Source organism: Homo sapiens, chromosome 2 (assembly GCF_000001405.40).
Source record: "Homo sapiens chromosome 2, GRCh38.p14 Primary Assembly".
NCBI classification, from domain to species: domain Eukaryota; kingdom Metazoa; phylum Chordata; class Mammalia; order Primates; family Hominidae; genus Homo; species Homo sapiens.
Window position 1 is genome coordinate 196003216 of NC_000002.12, and position 16605 is coordinate 196019820.

The following is a 16605-nucleotide window of genomic DNA, read 5'->3' on the forward strand; positions in this document are numbered from 1 at the left end:
CAAAGTGGAAGAATTATAAAGAAAAATAAATGGAGTAGGTAGGGTTATCAGATCATTTCAGTGTCTAAAATAGACAACAGAATAGAAAACAGGAAGAAATACACAGGGGAAGGTCCAGTTCAGGCAAGAGATGAAATAAGTTTAGGTCTGCAGAACTGGAAAGAGGACAAATACGATGTATTTTAAAAAGTATTCAATTGCTCATTCTCTCAAAAATATTTATATGACTCCCTATTATGAATGAAACATTTGGGGTACAAAAGATTTCTTAATTCTCAAAGTGCTTAATAGATCAGTGAAGGAAAAGAGGCACATACATACATAAATAAATATTGTTTTTAAAAAGGACTTAGAAGAGAACAAAGTACTGGAGGCATTCATAAGGAAGATATCACTTTTGATGAGATAACAGTAAAAATTTCATGAAAGAAGGGTCATTTAGGCTGGGTATTGAAGGACAGAAGAGAGTCTTCTCCAGTAATGACCTGCATCAAGCATTCTAAATAGTGTAAACCATAACAGTTTGCTGATAGTGTGCAAGAGGTCCTTATTCCATTTTAATCTCCTTAACCTCTAATTCAATCTTTATAATTAGTCAAACAAAGATGACAATGCTAAGAGTCTCAGAGTTTCAAGTTTTCATAGCACTCCCATCTCACAAATGAAAACAAATAAGGAGTAACTAATTACTTTAAAAATCAGTAATTGGTTAAAAGGGGGAACAAAGAGCCTTCAAACTTAGTCCACAGATGGATTTTTAACAGTGGTAAGGTGTGGTTACAGACTATTCATAGAAGTTATATTCTGTTTTATTTAACATGACTATTTCTACAGGCATGATCCAAGGTGAAAGTCTTTTTAGAACTGAGGATGGAGAAGACAAGTTAGATCTATATTACAGAAAACCTTTAAAGGCATATTAAGAAATATGGACTTACTTTCTCAACAAAAGGGAGGCACTGAACTGGGGAATATTTTAAGACTCATCGAGCAGTGGTTTACAGGCTAGGCTTGAAAAAGAAAGCTACCAGAGACAAAGGAATATGGCAGTTATTCAGATTTTGCAATAGGCTATATGGGAGGCTAAGAGGGCCAGCCAAGGGTAGTAGTCCTGGGGATTAAGAGGAAGGGATACACATGCAAGTTGCTTCTGAGAGTAGATCAAAAATAGTTGATGGTCATAAAATAAGTCTCAATAAATGTAAAAGGTTTAAAATCATACAAAATCATTAATCAATAACAGAAAGACACTTAGAAATTCACAAATATGTCTAAAGTAAACAACACATTTCTAAATGGCCTATGACTCAAATAAGAAATCATAAGGGAAATTAGAAAACAAGATGAATGGAAACGAAAACACCACATAGCATAACTCAGGGAATGCAGCAAAATCAGTGATTAGAGGGAAATTTTTAGCTGTAAACACCTATGTCAAAAACAAGGGAGGGCTGGGCATGGTGGCTCATGCCTGTAATAATCCCAGCACTTTGGGAGGCTAAGGTGGGACGATTTCTTGAGTCCAGGAGTTCAAGACCAGCCTGGACAACATGGTGAGGGTCTGTCTCACACACACACACACACACACACACACTCTTAGCTAGGCATGGTGACATGCGCCTGTGTTCCCAGCTACACAGGAGGCTGAGGTGGGAGGATGGCTTGGGCCCAGGAGGTCAAGAGGATGCAGTGAGCCATGTTCATGCCACAGCAGTCCTGCCTGGGCAACAGCATGAGGCCTTGTGTCAAAAAAAAAAAAAAAAAAAAAAAAAGGGCTGGGTGCAGTGGCTCACGCCTGTAATCCCAGCACTTTGGGAGGCCAAGGCAGGCAGATCACAAGGTCAGGAGATCAAGACCATCTCAGCTAACACCGTGAAACCCCGTTTCTACTAAAAATACAAAAACAAAATTAGCCGGGTGTGGTGGTGGGCACCTGTAGTCCGAGCTACTCAGGAGGCTGAGGTGGGAAAATGGCATGAACCCGGGAGGCAGAGCTTGCGGTGAGCCAAGATGGCACCACTGCATTCCAGCCTGGGTGACAGGGCAAGACTCCATCTCCAAAACAAACAAACAAACAAACAAACAAACAAAAATATATATATATATATAACTAAACTCAAAACAAGAAGGAGAAGGGAGGAAATAAAGAGGTAAGTCCAAACAAAAAAATATTGAATAGAAAAATAAAGAAAAATCAACAAACCTAAAGTTGGTTGTTTAAACAGATCAACAAAACTCATGAACTTATAGTTAAACTGACCAAGAAAAAAGAGCAAAGACTCAAATTGTTAAAATCAGGAATAAAAGGGGAGACACTAATACTAACATTACAGAAATACAAAGAATTAAAAGGGAATATAATATACAATTGTTTGCCAACAAATTTGATAATCTAGAAAAAACGGACAAATTCTATGAAGACAAAAACTACCAAATCTGACTTAAAAAGACATAGAAAATATCAATAAACCTGTAGCAAGTAAAAGAGATCAAATTAATATTAATAATTTACAAACCTTCCAGGAAAAAAAGGCCAGGACTAGATGGCTTCACTGGTAGTTCTAACAAGAATTTAAAAAATTAACACCAAACCAAATGTTTGGTTTGTAAAGAATTCACTAACCAAAAAGGAAAAAAGAAAAGAATGTTTTCCTACTCATTCTGTGAGGTATTACTATAATACCAACTACAAAGACATAACACACACACACACACACACAAAAACTACAGACCAATATCTCATATGAATGAAGACATAAAAATCCTCAACAAAATACTAGAAATCCAAGTCCAGAAGCACATAAAAAGTATTATATGATCATATGTGATGGCTCATGCCTGTAATCCCAACACTTTGGGAGGCTGAGTCAGGAGGATTGCTTGAGTCCAGGAGTTTGAGACCAGCCTGGGCAACACAGTGAGACCTTGTCTCTACAAAAATGAACAAAATTAGCTGGGCACATGCCTGTAGTCCCAGCTACTCAGGGGGATAAGGCACAAGAAACACTTGAACCCAGGAAGCAGGGGTTGCAGTGAGCCAGGATCGCACCACTGCACTCCAGCCTGGCTGACAGAGCAAGGCCCTGTCTCCAAAAAAAGACAGGATTATCTCCATTCCATGACCATGTAGAATCTACCTCAGGAATTCAAGGTTGGTTCAATACATGAAAAATCAATGTAATACGCCATATTAATAGAATAAAAGGGAAAAATCACATGATTATCTCAATAGATTCAAAAAGCATTTACAAAATCTAACACTACATGATAAAAAACCATATCTGCTCTTGCTGCTTCTATTCAACATTGTACTGGAGGGTCTAATCAGGGAAATTAGCTAAGGAAAGGAAAAAAAAAAAAACATATCCAGATAGGAAAGGAAGAAGTAAACTGTCTCTATTTGCAGATGATATGATCTTATATATAGAAAGCCATAAAGAATCCACACGCAAAAACCATTAAAGCTAATAAATAAGTTTAGTAAGGTAGTAGAATACAAGATCAATATATAAAATTCAGTTGTATTTCTACACACTAGCAACAATCTGAAGATGAAATTGAGAAGACCATTCCATTTACATAGCATCAAGAAGAATACTTAGAAAAAAATTAAACCAAAAAATGTAAATACATTTTTGTATTTACATTTAATACATATAAAATTACATACATAATTACATACAAAAAATGTAATACACATATACTGAAAACTACACGACATTGTTGAAATAAATTAAAGAAGAACTAAATAAATGGAAAGACATCCTGTGTTCATGAATTGAAAGACTTAACATTATTAAGTTAAAATTAATGTACAGATGTAATGCATTCCCTATTAAAATCCCAATGGCATTTTTTAAAAAATGGACAAGTTGCTACTAAAATGCATATAAAATACAAAGGACTCAGAACAACAACAATTTTTCAACTCAGAAAAATAAGAACAAAATTGGAGGACTCACACTTCCTTATCTCAAAACTTACTACAAAACGGTTTGGTACTGGCATAAAGACAAATAGGCCAATGAAACAGAATAGAGAGCCCAGAAATAAACCCTCCCATATATGGTCAAATGATTTTCAGCAAAGGTGCCAAGACAACTCACTCAGAAGAGTCTTGCACAAATGGTGCTCAGACTACCAGATATCCATATGCAAAATAATAAATTTGGGCTCCTACCTCAGACCATGTATAAGTTAAAATGAATTTGGTTTGTAAAGGTCAAAAAGGCCTAAATGTAGGAGCTACAACTATAGAATGATTAGTTCTGTTTACCACACAGGAAAACAGGTAAATCTTGGTGGCTTTGGATATGATACTGATATGGTTTGGCTGTGTCTCCACCCAAATCTCACCTTGAATTGTAATAATCTCCATGTGTCAAAGCTGAGACCAGTGGAGATAATTGAATCACAGGGGCAGTTTCCCCTGTACTCTTCTTGTGGTAGTGAATAAGTCTCACGAGATTTGTTGGTTTTATAAATGTGAGTTCCCCTACACATGCCCTCTTGCCTGTCGCCATGTAGGACCGGGCTTTGCTCCTCATTTGCCTTCCACCATGATTGTGAGGCCTCCCCAGCCATGTGGAACTGTGAGCCAATTCAACCTCTTTCCTTTATAAATTACCCAGTCTCAGGTATGTCTTTATTAACAGTGTGAGAACAGATTAACACAGATACCAAAAGGCACAAACAACCAAAGAAAAAACATAAATGAGACTTCGTCAAAATTAAAAATATTTGTGCTTCAAAGGATACTATCAATAGGAGAAATATTTGCAAATAATATAATTGATAAGGGTCTAGTATCCAGAATATACAAAGAACTCTTAAATCTCAACAACAAAATATCAGATATTTTACATGTCAAAAATAAAAATCAGACAACCCAGTAGAAAATGAACAAAGGGTTTGAATAGACATTTTCCAAAGATGACAAATAAACAGACAATAAGCCCATAAAAAGATAGTCAACATCATTGGTCATGAGGGAAATGCAAATCAAAATCATAGTGAGATACAACTTCATAACCACGAGGGTGGCTACAAGCAGAAAGATGGACAATAACAAGTGCTGGAAAGTGTGTGGAGAAATTGGAACCCTCATAAATTGTTGTTAGGAATGTGAAATCTTATAGTCACTTTGGAAAACAGTGCGAGTGTTCCTCAAAAAGTCAGAATTACCATATAACCCAGCAATTTCACTCCTAGGTATACAGTCAAGAGAACTTAAAAATATATTTATGCAAAATAAATGTTCATAGCAAAAACAGCCAAAAAGTGGAAACAACCCAAATGTCCATTACCTGATGACTGGATGAATAAAATGTCTTATATCCATATACTGAAATATCATTTGGCCATACTGAAGTATCATTTGGCCATGAGAAGATATGACATATTGATACATGCTATAATATGAATGAACTTTGAAAACATTATGCTTCCTGTAAGAAGCCAGGCATAAATGACCATATATTCACTGAGACGAAATGTCCAGAGTAGGGAAATTCATAGAGACAAAAAAAATATTAGCATAGTTACCAGGCACCTCTGGGTGGAAGAATGGGAAATGGCTGCTAACAGGTACAGAGTTTCTTTCTAGGGCGTATTAAGCCATTCTTGTGTTGCTATAAAGAAATATCTGGGACTGGGTAATTTATAAAGAAAAGAGGTTTAATTGGCTCATGATTCTATACGCTGTAGCAGCATGGTTCTAGCATCTGATTCCAGTGAAGGCCCCAGGAACATTATAATTACGGCAGAAGGTGAAGGGGGAGCAGCCATGTCATGGCCAGAGCGAGTGCAAGAGAGCAAGGAGGAAGGTGCCATACACTTTTAAACAACCAGATCTTGTGTGAACTCAGAGCAAGAACTCACTTATTATCATGAGGACAGAACCAAGCTATTCATGAGTGATCTGCCCCCATGACCAAACACCTCCCACCAGGCCACACCTCCAACACTAGGGATTACGTTTCAATATGAGATTTGGAGGGGACAAGCATCCAAACTATACGGCATGGTGAAAATGAAAATGTTCTGGAACTAATGGTAATGGTTGCACAACCTTGCGAGTATATTATCAACTACTGAATTGTACACATTAAAGTAGTGAATTTTATGGTAAATGAATTATTTCTCAATAAAAAAAGAATAGCAATACATTGGGTACCGCTGGAAGCAGAGCTAAAATTTCATGCTTTCTTACATGAAATTTCAAAAGAGAACAAAAAAAGTCCCAAGGTTTTCAACTTGGCCTAGTAATGGTTCACAACAGGAAGAGTAGCAGGTTTGGAACAAAGAGAATAAGCATTGCTAGAAACATGCTGAGATTCAGGTGCTGACGTGACATTCAACTAAAGATATTCAGTATTACATTGGTCTGGGCAAAGATGTGTTGAGGAATACCTAAAAGCACAGGCAAGAAGGCAAAAATTAACAAACAGGATAACATCAAGCTAAAAAGCTTTGCATAGCAAAGGAAACTAGACAAAGTAGAGAGACAACCTACAGAATGGGAAAAAATGTTTGCAAACTATTCATTGTACAAAGGATTAATAACTGGAATACATAGAGAACTCAAACAACTCAACAGCAAAAATCCAAATAATCTCACTAAAAATGGGCAAATGATTGAAATAAACATTTCCCAAAATAAAATGTACAAATAGCCAACAGGTATATGAAGAATGCCCAACATTCCTATTCATCACGGAAATGCAAATCAAAAGCACACTGATGCCAACATTCCTATTCATCAGGGAAATGCAAATCAAAAGCACACTGAGATATTATCTCACTCTGGTTAAAAATGGCTACTATCAAAAGTACAAACAATAACAGATGCTGGCAAGGATGTAGAGAAAGAACTCTTTCCTTCCTTCCTTCCTCCATCCATCTCTCCCTCCCTGCTCTTCTTCTTCTTTCTCTCTCTTTTTTTTTTTTTCTTGAGCCAGAGTCTTGCTCAGCCACCCAGGCTGGAGTGCAGTGGTGTGATCTTGGCTCACTGCAACTTCCACCTCCCAGGTTCAAGCGATTCTTCCACCTCAGCTTCCCAAGTAGCTGGGATTACAGGTGTGCGCCACCACACCCTGCTAATTTTTGTATTTTTAGTAGAGATAGGGTTTCACCATGTTGATTGTGGTTTCAAACTCCTGACCTCAAGTGATCTGCCCACCTCAGCCTCCCAAAGTGCTGGGAGTGATAGGTGTGAGCCACCATCCCTGACAAAAAGAGGAACTTTCATACACTGTTGGGAACACAAATTTGTACAACCACTAGAGAGAACACTACAGAGGTTCCTCAAAAAACTAAAATTACAGCTACCATATAATTCAACAATTCCACTGCTGGGCATATACCCCAAATAAAGGAAATCAATATATCAAAGAGATAGCTGTACTCCCATGTTTATTGCAGCACTGTTCACAATAGCCAAAATACAGAATCAACTTTGGCCCATCAGTGGGTGAATAGATAAAGAAAATATAGTGTGTGTATGTGTGTGTGTATAGTATATAAAATGTAAACAAAATATAAAATGTACATAAAATATAGTATATAAAATGTAGTTTATATACACAATGGAATATTATTCAGTCATAAAAATGAATATAATCCTGTCATTTGCAGCAACATGGATGAGCCTGGAGGACATCGTGTTAACTGAAATAAGCCAGGCACATAAAGATAAATATCACATGCTCTTATTCATATGTGGAAGCTAAAAAAACATTGATGTCATGGAGGTTGTAAGTAGAATGGCGGTTAAGAGAAGCTAGGAAGGGCAGGTTTGGGATGGAGGATGAAGAGAGGTTGGTTAATACGCACAAAAATACAGTTGATAGAAGGAATAAGTTCTGGTGTTTGACAGCAGTGTAATGTGACTATAGTTAACAAGAATTTATAGTATATTCCAAAATAGCTAGAAGAGAAGATTTGGAATGCTCCCAACACAAAGAAATGATAAATGTTTGAGGTGATGGATATGCTAATTACCCTAATTGAATCATTATGCATTGTATGAATGCATCAAAATATTCCATTAATATATGTACCCTATATATGTACAATTATTATGTATCAATTTTAAAAATTGATAAGACAGGCCTAAAGCTCAGAAGACAAAATCTTGAGGCAGAAGAATTCATGAAATTGTCAAGAAAATATAAAGAAGAGAGATAACAACAAAGACCTGGGGAACCCTACTTGTAGGGAATAATAATAAGTAAAGCCAGAAAAAGATAAATGGAAGAAGAACTAGAGAAACACAGCAGCACAGAAAAGCGGGTTTCCAGAAGTCTGGAAACCACACACTGTGAGTAAAAATGGAAGATGAGGACGATGAAAAGGCATTTGGGTTTGAGGTGGAAGTCATAATTAATCATTTGCTAATTGTTTCTCCTCTGTGAGCTGATGCTCTGCCTTTTGGTCATGATAAACACTTTCTGGCTCACTACTTAAAATATGGTCAGAGAGTTCTTCCCTGAGAATCAATCAGGAAGCATCAAGAGATACAGCTAATCAATCTGCATTTCTCAGCAAAAAAATAATTCAATAAAGGTTTGTACTCTACTCTGTAATTTGACACCCATTTAACTAAAATTTACAGTGGTAATGTATTCCTAGGGTAGAACCCAGAAGTTATAGATCAAGATAATTTATTTGTATCCTGTCCTTAAGAGGTCACTTTCTTCTCTGTAATTAATTATGGGTTTTCATTTTATCACCTCTTAACTCTACTTTTACATTAACTAAATACTAATATAAAATAAAAGGCTAAAGTTTTTTCAAGTAATATCAAAGAATTTTATTCTAACACATTGGAGAAGAAAGCAAGATAAAGGAAATATTTAATCTCAAATTATGAAGATATCTTTCTAAGTAACTTTTAGAAATCATGAAGCTATGCTAGCAGTTTCATGTCCTCTGCTACCTTAAATTTGACTGAATTTTAATGTCCTGTTTATAATAACTTAATGACCCATGAGAGAAACAATTTTCCTAAGTTGCTTCAAAGCATACTGTCTGATTCCCAGATTATGAATTATCATATGTGGCTATTCCATTCCGAAAAGCCAATCCAAGGAGATATTCAATTATCATCTGATAGGTCTGCCTTCTAGTGAGATTTTTTTAATTCATTTAAACGATATACTTTCCCCACTTAACCATTCTTTAAACTCTTCTGCTTTCCCCATCCAAAAACAAAATGAAGGGAGGTACAGAGCCTAGCATGTGTTAACAGCAGATGACAAATACCTGGTGAATAATGATTAGGTAACCATTCTCTCATGGTATTCAGCACCCCTCTCAAAGGATAGGTACAAACCAGACACTTAGAAAAAAGTAACCAGTTGTCATGAACATTTTAGTTTCTGCACAATCTACGCTGTGTAGAACATCTGGACAAATATTACAGACTAAGATAATTAAAGATATTATATTTAAATCATGTAGAAATGATTTAAAACATTAAAATTGGATCTTCTAAAAGCAGTTAAAATGCAGTAGCCCACAATCATATTTTTAAACTTATGCTTTCCTACATGAAATTTCAAACCTTTACATTTTAAGTAGAGTCTCTTTGGCAGAGTCCATGTGTCTCATGATAATGTTCTGAAAACTTGACAGCTCTAATGCATCCTGGCAATTATGAAATTCTTTGATATCAACTAAACGTAATTTTCTGCAAAAGATAAAAATAAACAGTAATTTAACAATGACTTTTTTGGTATTTAATATTTTATTAATTGGTTCCTTCTTAAAAATATCATATTCCTAGGTTTAATCATTAAAAATTGTGTTCTATATAATTAAATGTTAAAGAACACAAGATATTCTAATTTTAAAAATAATTCATATAATTAAATTCAATAGGAACACAACAAAATACATAACTTCACTGTGAAGTAGAAGAAAGTTGCAATAACTGGGATATGAAGGATAGTTTAAACTGGTTTTTGCTTTTAAACTGTAATAATTTAAACAGGAAAAGAGGGAGGGCTCAATGCTTCTAGGATCCACTGCTCTGAAAAGAAAAAATTGCAGCCTCTCTGAAAAGAAAGTGGCCCTCATTTCAGGCAGCCATGGATTGAAGGAGTCTCACATCTAATCAAGAACCAGTATATCAAACTCTTTTGAGCCTGTCTGGTTTTTTTTAAAGAACACAGGGATTACTGGAGTCAACAACTTTCAATACAATCCTTCTTTTGACTACAATGTTATAGATCTTTGTTATACACACGGTTTACTCATCTAAGTATTTTCTCTGTCAGGTTAACAAAAATGAAAGAATAATATTAGCATTAACTTGTTCTTTAAAAAATCACATTTAATGTTTCCTTAAAGACCAATGTAAAATACTGGTTAGTAAATAAAACACATTTCAAATCTATTTCCTTATATTTCTTCCACAAGCTAAAATTCATCTGAGTTATAATGTACTCCGTACATGACATTGATAATAATTAGGCACAAAGTACGTATAACCACTGCTAGAGAACCAATGTGTTATTCTGCATAATTGAGCAATGTAATGTTTTAAATAAAATGTTTAAAATATAGCATAATAGCACATAGTAAACATGATCTGATCTCTTTAGCTTCCTAGTCAATGCTTTCAACATTATTTTACATTTTAAAATTGCAGCTGTAATCAGGATGCAGATGCATGCGGTGTGAGATAGCACTGAATAAGTAGTAGTTGCAAGGGCACAAGCTCTGGAATTCACCTTGCCATTGAGCCACCAGACCAATTTTCCTTAGTTTCTTCGTATTCGATTTGAAACAGAATTCGAGGCATAGAATACCATCTTTGATGTTTTGAGATTGAAAGGTTTTACACAGTACAATAACTTTCCCATGAAATCTCTGCAGATAGCATTACCCATCTGGTCAATAGGATGAATTGTTAAGAAAACAGGAAAAATACTACCAGACACTGTTCTTGCTTTCTCAGGATAGTCCCTACAATAACCCAGCAGTGAAACAATAGTTTAAATCATTGGTTTAAGACAATAGAAAGGATCAGGAAAAAAGATATTACTCACTATGCATTAGCTTCAATTTGGTTAGCAGAAGGAAATGCAAGTCTCTTTAAAAGTTTTATGATGATGAGTCTTCTAATCACCAAAATAACTTCTTGATTGCAATTTTCTATTAGTAGAACCGAACAGCTCCAAATCACCCAGACCATGAAACTCAGGACTGTCTCTGAACTCTTCCTATCCTTTATCTTCCCACATCCAATCAGAAGTGAATTTCTGTAGACCCATCTATTGGTCACATATCCCTCCTGCCCTCACAACTGTCACTTAATGCTCACCCCAAGCTGAAACCCACCCTGACCCCTGGCTCTGTCACTGATTTTCAGGCAGGAGGAATTTCAACAGTCCTGGTCCAATACTCTGGACTTAGCATCAAGTCAGTCTCTACCTTTGTTCTCTGGTTCTCAAAACTAATCTTCTCTCTTCTTACCAAGTTTCCCACAGAAATTCCACTCGAAGTATCTACATTTCTTGGTTGTCCCATGAAATTTTCCCTTTCTTAGGAACATGTTTTGCTTTTGCCGTCCTCCTTTTTTTGTAACTTTCAAAGTAGCACACTATAGGCCAGTGTCCTGCACTTGCTTTTTTCACTGAATATCTTCTCCTGGAGACCTTTTCATATTAACACATCGAGATTTTTCTCACTCATATTTTATAACTACATAATATTCCATTGTGCATAGTATAACTTATTTAACTAGTCTATCAATGGATGCTGGCTTGTTTCCAGTCTCTTATAAACAAATGCCACCATAAATAGCATTATAACTATATCACCTCCTACATTCTCGGGTGCGTCTGTACACTACTTATCCAAAAGTGAAATTGCTGGATTCAAGTGTTACCTGTAATTTGTAATTATGATAGGTATGGCTAGGATTCCCTCAAATGGGAGCCCATTTCTTCAAGCCTTACTAATAAAATGGGATATCAAATTTTGTAATTTGTGGGGAAAACAGTTTCTCAGTATAGTTTTAATTTCAATCTCTTTACATTTCTTGTATTATGAGTTAGGTTAAGCATCTTTTTAACATGTTTAAAAATGATTTCATTTGTATCCTGTGTGCTGTACGGTAAATCAATTATAGTGTTCTTATCTAGTAATTTTTTTCCTAGATTCATCTTCATCAAATAATAAATTTTTAAAAGCCATTTCATCTTTAAAATGAGCTTAACTTTCTCAGACATCTGCTTTTACATTCAACTATGATGATTTATATTACACTGTAATTTCTACATTCTCTTGTGATCTTCATATACGCATTATTTTACAAGCAAAAATATGTGTTGTGTAGGGTATGACTGCATTACAAAGGCTATCTATGACATTAAGTGGGTTCTGTAAGTGTAAATACCAATAACATGAATTTCAACATCTTTTCTAGAGAGCATCTTATCAGGTTTCCAAACTCATGCATTTTAGAGTCACTCAGACACGTTTTTGCATTAACATTCCCCAACCCACTGCCACACATAGAGATGTCGTATATTTTCAAGGTCTGCTGAGATTCAGGGTAAATGACTGCCACTAGAAGCATGCCCTTTGTATTCAATGCTGGCTACTACTCAGAGGGGTAGCCCTTGTTGACTGTCCCCCCACTCTTAATACTCACATAGAGAATAAAAACAACCTAGGCTTTCAAAGGCAACATAGGAGCTTGTGGAGCTCTTCTTTCACCCACAGACTGCAAGGCTTCTTTCCCATGTGTCTTTACCATGGATGCCTTGAAGTTTGCTTCAGTTGCTGCTAACATCTCTGCCACCACAACTACGGAGCCTAATTTTGGACACATACACTTTCTATTGTTTTTTAAATTTCAGCTTTGTTACTTTTTCTTCCCCCTTTTCATTTTCTTATCTCTTGCCTCCTGAAATCGTCTAACAGACCAAGTCTAGCATTTTATGGACAGTAGTAGGTCATGGAGTCCCATCCTTCAGTGTCCAGCTCAGTGTGTTCTGAAAGTGGATATAAAAAAAAACGATAACTTGTGGTGTTGTTTTGAAAATGAAATGTACTAATTTACACAAACATAATTTGTGAAAGTAATATACTATATTGTATGACCTCATGACTGCATGCAAAATTAGATCATGGGCCTTGTCAGCTGAGAAGAGGTATTTTAACTCCAATATTCAAAAGAAAAGAAATGACAAAAACATGGGGCAATGAAGTAGCCTCTTCCTACTTAGTACAAGTCAAATTAAGCAGACAAAGAAATCCATACTGTACAATGGAAAGGTGGAAGAATGCATTTCCTGGAAGTATGTATTCTGAAAGCTAAAGCCAGTTTTAAGGATCCTAGCCCATTCTCTGAAGTCAGCAGAGGCCCCTGAAGTATGTAGAAGGTCAGAATATGTGTTAGAAACCCTGTATAATCTCATTACATTCTGCAGACCTGGGTTCATTCAGCAAAGTAAGCCGAGTCTGTAAGTTCAGAGAGTTCCACAGTGTGCAAATGAAAAGAGGGGAGGAAAAAATAAACTTGAATAATTTACCCACATGGAGAAGGCAAAGCTTCCTAGAAAGGCATTGGAGTGAAACTTCATGCCCAAGTATCCCTCCCAAAAGGGAATCACTCAAAATTTATAAAGAAATTCTGCTGTAAAGAAGAAATGAGAGGGAATTCTGTAAACCGAAAATCTATATAAAAATTACGAACTCTTACTGAAATATATACACGAGATTGAATATTGAAATATATGTAGGATATGAGCGAGAGTGCTTTTTTATTATTTTATTTAATTTTAATTTTATTTTGAGCTGGAGTCTTGCTCTGTCACCCAAGCTGGAGTGCACTGGCATGATCTCAGCTATCTCAGCTCACTGCAACCTCTGCCTTTTGGTTCAAGTTATTTTCCGGCCTCAGCCTCCCAAGTAGCTGGGATTACAGGCGCCCACCACCACACCCAGCTAATTTTTGTATTTTTAGTAAAGACGAGGTTTCACCATCTTCGGCAGGCTGGTCTTGAACTCCTGACCTTGTGATCCACCCACCTCGGCTTCCCAAAGTGCTGGAAGTACGGGCGTGAGCCACAACACTTGGCCCCAAAGTGCTTCTTAATTTAATTACACATGTCTATTTTCTGAGATTAATATAAAAACTTAATAAATTCCAATCAGAACACGGACAATTTTTCTCTTTCCATCTTTCTTTTGAATTAAATAAAATAGGCTTAAACTTAAGAAGGAAAAGTGAATGTTTAAAAAATAGCCAAGAAGAGCATAAAAAATAGAGTTGGGATTCCTCTCACCAAATATAAGCACATGCCATAGAGTCACCCTAATCAAATTAATCTGTACTTGTACGGAAAGAGATTCAAATATTACAAGAAAAAAATAGAGAATCCAGAAAGACATTCTGATTACTATAAATTCTGTAGATTTCTATAGATTGAAGAGTTAATCCATGACAAAGGTGATCGCTCCATTAAGGGGGAAAAGGTAAGATTGTTTAAGAAATGATGCTGGCACAATTGGCTATCTGGAAGAAAATAAAAATGAATTTCATTCTACATCATTGGTAAAAATAACCTTCAGGTGGTCAAAAAACTAAAATGTTAAAAAAATAAAAAAATTTTACTAGTTAGCCAGGAAGATCTCACATACAATTTACTAAATAAGGAGACCTTCTTAACCAAGACTAGGAGAATTCAGAAGAAAACAGAGACATATTTAACAGTATAAAAATTTTTAATTTCAGAGTATCGAAGGAAACTATAAACTCAGTCAATGGACAAATTATAAACCTAAGTTTTAGCAGTTGTTTGATTTGTTTCAGGTACTAGACACAGAACTGAAACCTCTGTTATTCTAAGAGGTTATCAAATTGATAAGAAAAGATGAAGAACCAACAAAACACTGACAAAGATATAAGTAGAGAATTCATAATCAAATTCAAATAACTAACAAACACATGAAAAGATGTTCAGATTCCCTAGTAGTCTAGCAAAGGCAAATCGAAGTAATGATGATATAGCATTTTACATTGATTGACAAATAGTATAATACACATAGTTAGAATTTTAGGGAAAGAAGTTCTCATTTACTGTTGGTAAAAACGTATAGTATCAAACATTTCTGGAAAAAAAATCCAGCAAAATATACTAAAATAAAAACATAAATATGCTATGATCTAGTTATCCCACTTTTGTGAATCTATCCCATGTAAACAAAGGGACCAGTGAATAATAACATATTTACAAGGTTATTTCCTGATGCATTATTCATAGTATCAGAAACTGAAATAAAATAAATGTCCTTGGAATTCAAAGTAATTCCAGATAACACAGAGAAGGAATTCAGAATTCCATAAGATAAATTTAACAAAGAGATCGAAATAATTAAAACAAATAAAGCAGAAATTCTAGAGTTGAAAAACACAATTGACGTGCTGAAGAATGCATCAGAGTCCATTAATAGCAGAATTGGGTTAATGGGTACAAGAAAATATATAGTTAGACAGAATGAATGAGACCTAGTATTTGATAGCACAACCGGAGGACTACAGTCAATAATACTTTAATTGTACATTTTAAAATAACTAAAGGAGTATAACTGGATTGTTTGTAACACAAAGGAAAAATGCTTGAGGGGATGGACACCAAACTTTCCATGGTGTGATTATTAATCATTGCATGCCTCTACCAAAATATCTCATGTACCCCATAAATATATGCATCTACTATGTACTCAAAAAATTAAAAAATTTAAAATTTTAGAAAAGCAGTGTTCACTTTTTGCTCTATATACTTCTTTGTTGTTTATTTAAAACCATGTTTGAATACTTACATTAAAATGGTAATGTTTTACTTTGCAGTTAAAATAGTAAAAGAAATAATTAAGATATAGTAAAACAACTTCCCTCTATATTTTAAAAACCTCTATAAGGCCACATATACTCACTTAAAATTAGTGTGCCACAAATCTAGTACAGCCAGCATTGTGGGGTTCATTGCATTCAAGTGATCCCTAATATAACTGCTTGCAGCTAAAAAAGATTTCCTCCAAGGTTTTGGCAGAATTTCCATTCTGAAAACAAAGAAAATATTTAGTTACAGTCTCAAAAAAAGTATTTTTATAGTAACTGTACATTTTGGGTAATAATTATTTAATTTTAATAAAATATGTGCTGTATCCCTCATCATAATAACAAAACAAGCAATTATGTTTTAAAATATATAAAGATCATATGTTTTATGGTTTAGTATAATTTCATTATAAAAATGACTCTGAAATTAGATTTAAATCTTTAAAACAAAAGGTAACTAATTTTTATCTCCAAATACTTGATCTTATTGAATCCACAAATAATTTACAATGAACAAATGAAAACAGCAGCCAGCTATCTCTCATAAACATCTTCAAAGATTCTCTACTAATTTCAGGACATACATTTAAATTTTCCCTTTATTTTTAAAATTCCTCTTTTATTTTTATTTTTAAAACATTTTAAGGATATAGTCCAACCTTCCCATAGAAATCCCCTTGAACTTTACCCCGTTAATATGTAAACATCATTTATAAATCACAAACACTAACGTTTTTATTTGAAGA

The 16605-nt window shown here is 35.0% G+C and overlaps 1 protein-coding gene across 11 annotated transcripts in view; it reads right to left on the bottom strand.

Moving 5' to 3' along the window:
* Positions 1-16605, bottom strand: part of DNAH7 (dynein axonemal heavy chain 7) — a 331135-nt gene that overhangs the window by 265513 nt on the left and 49017 nt on the right. For 10 of the 11 annotated variants that reach the window (XR_922968.4, XM_017004504.3, XM_011511490.4 and 7 more), the window contains 2 exons: positions 15955-16080; positions 9572-9691 (listed from right to left, as the gene is read on the bottom strand). Coding sequence is in view for 10 of the 11 variants with exons in the window: in XM_017004504.3 (XP_016859993.1) it covers positions 9572-9691; positions 15955-16080 (246 nt within the window). In the remaining variant the exon portion in view is untranslated. The remainder of the gene's footprint in view (positions 1-9571; positions 9692-15954; positions 16081-16605) is intronic. The other variant, XM_011511488.4, reaches the window with a different exon arrangement.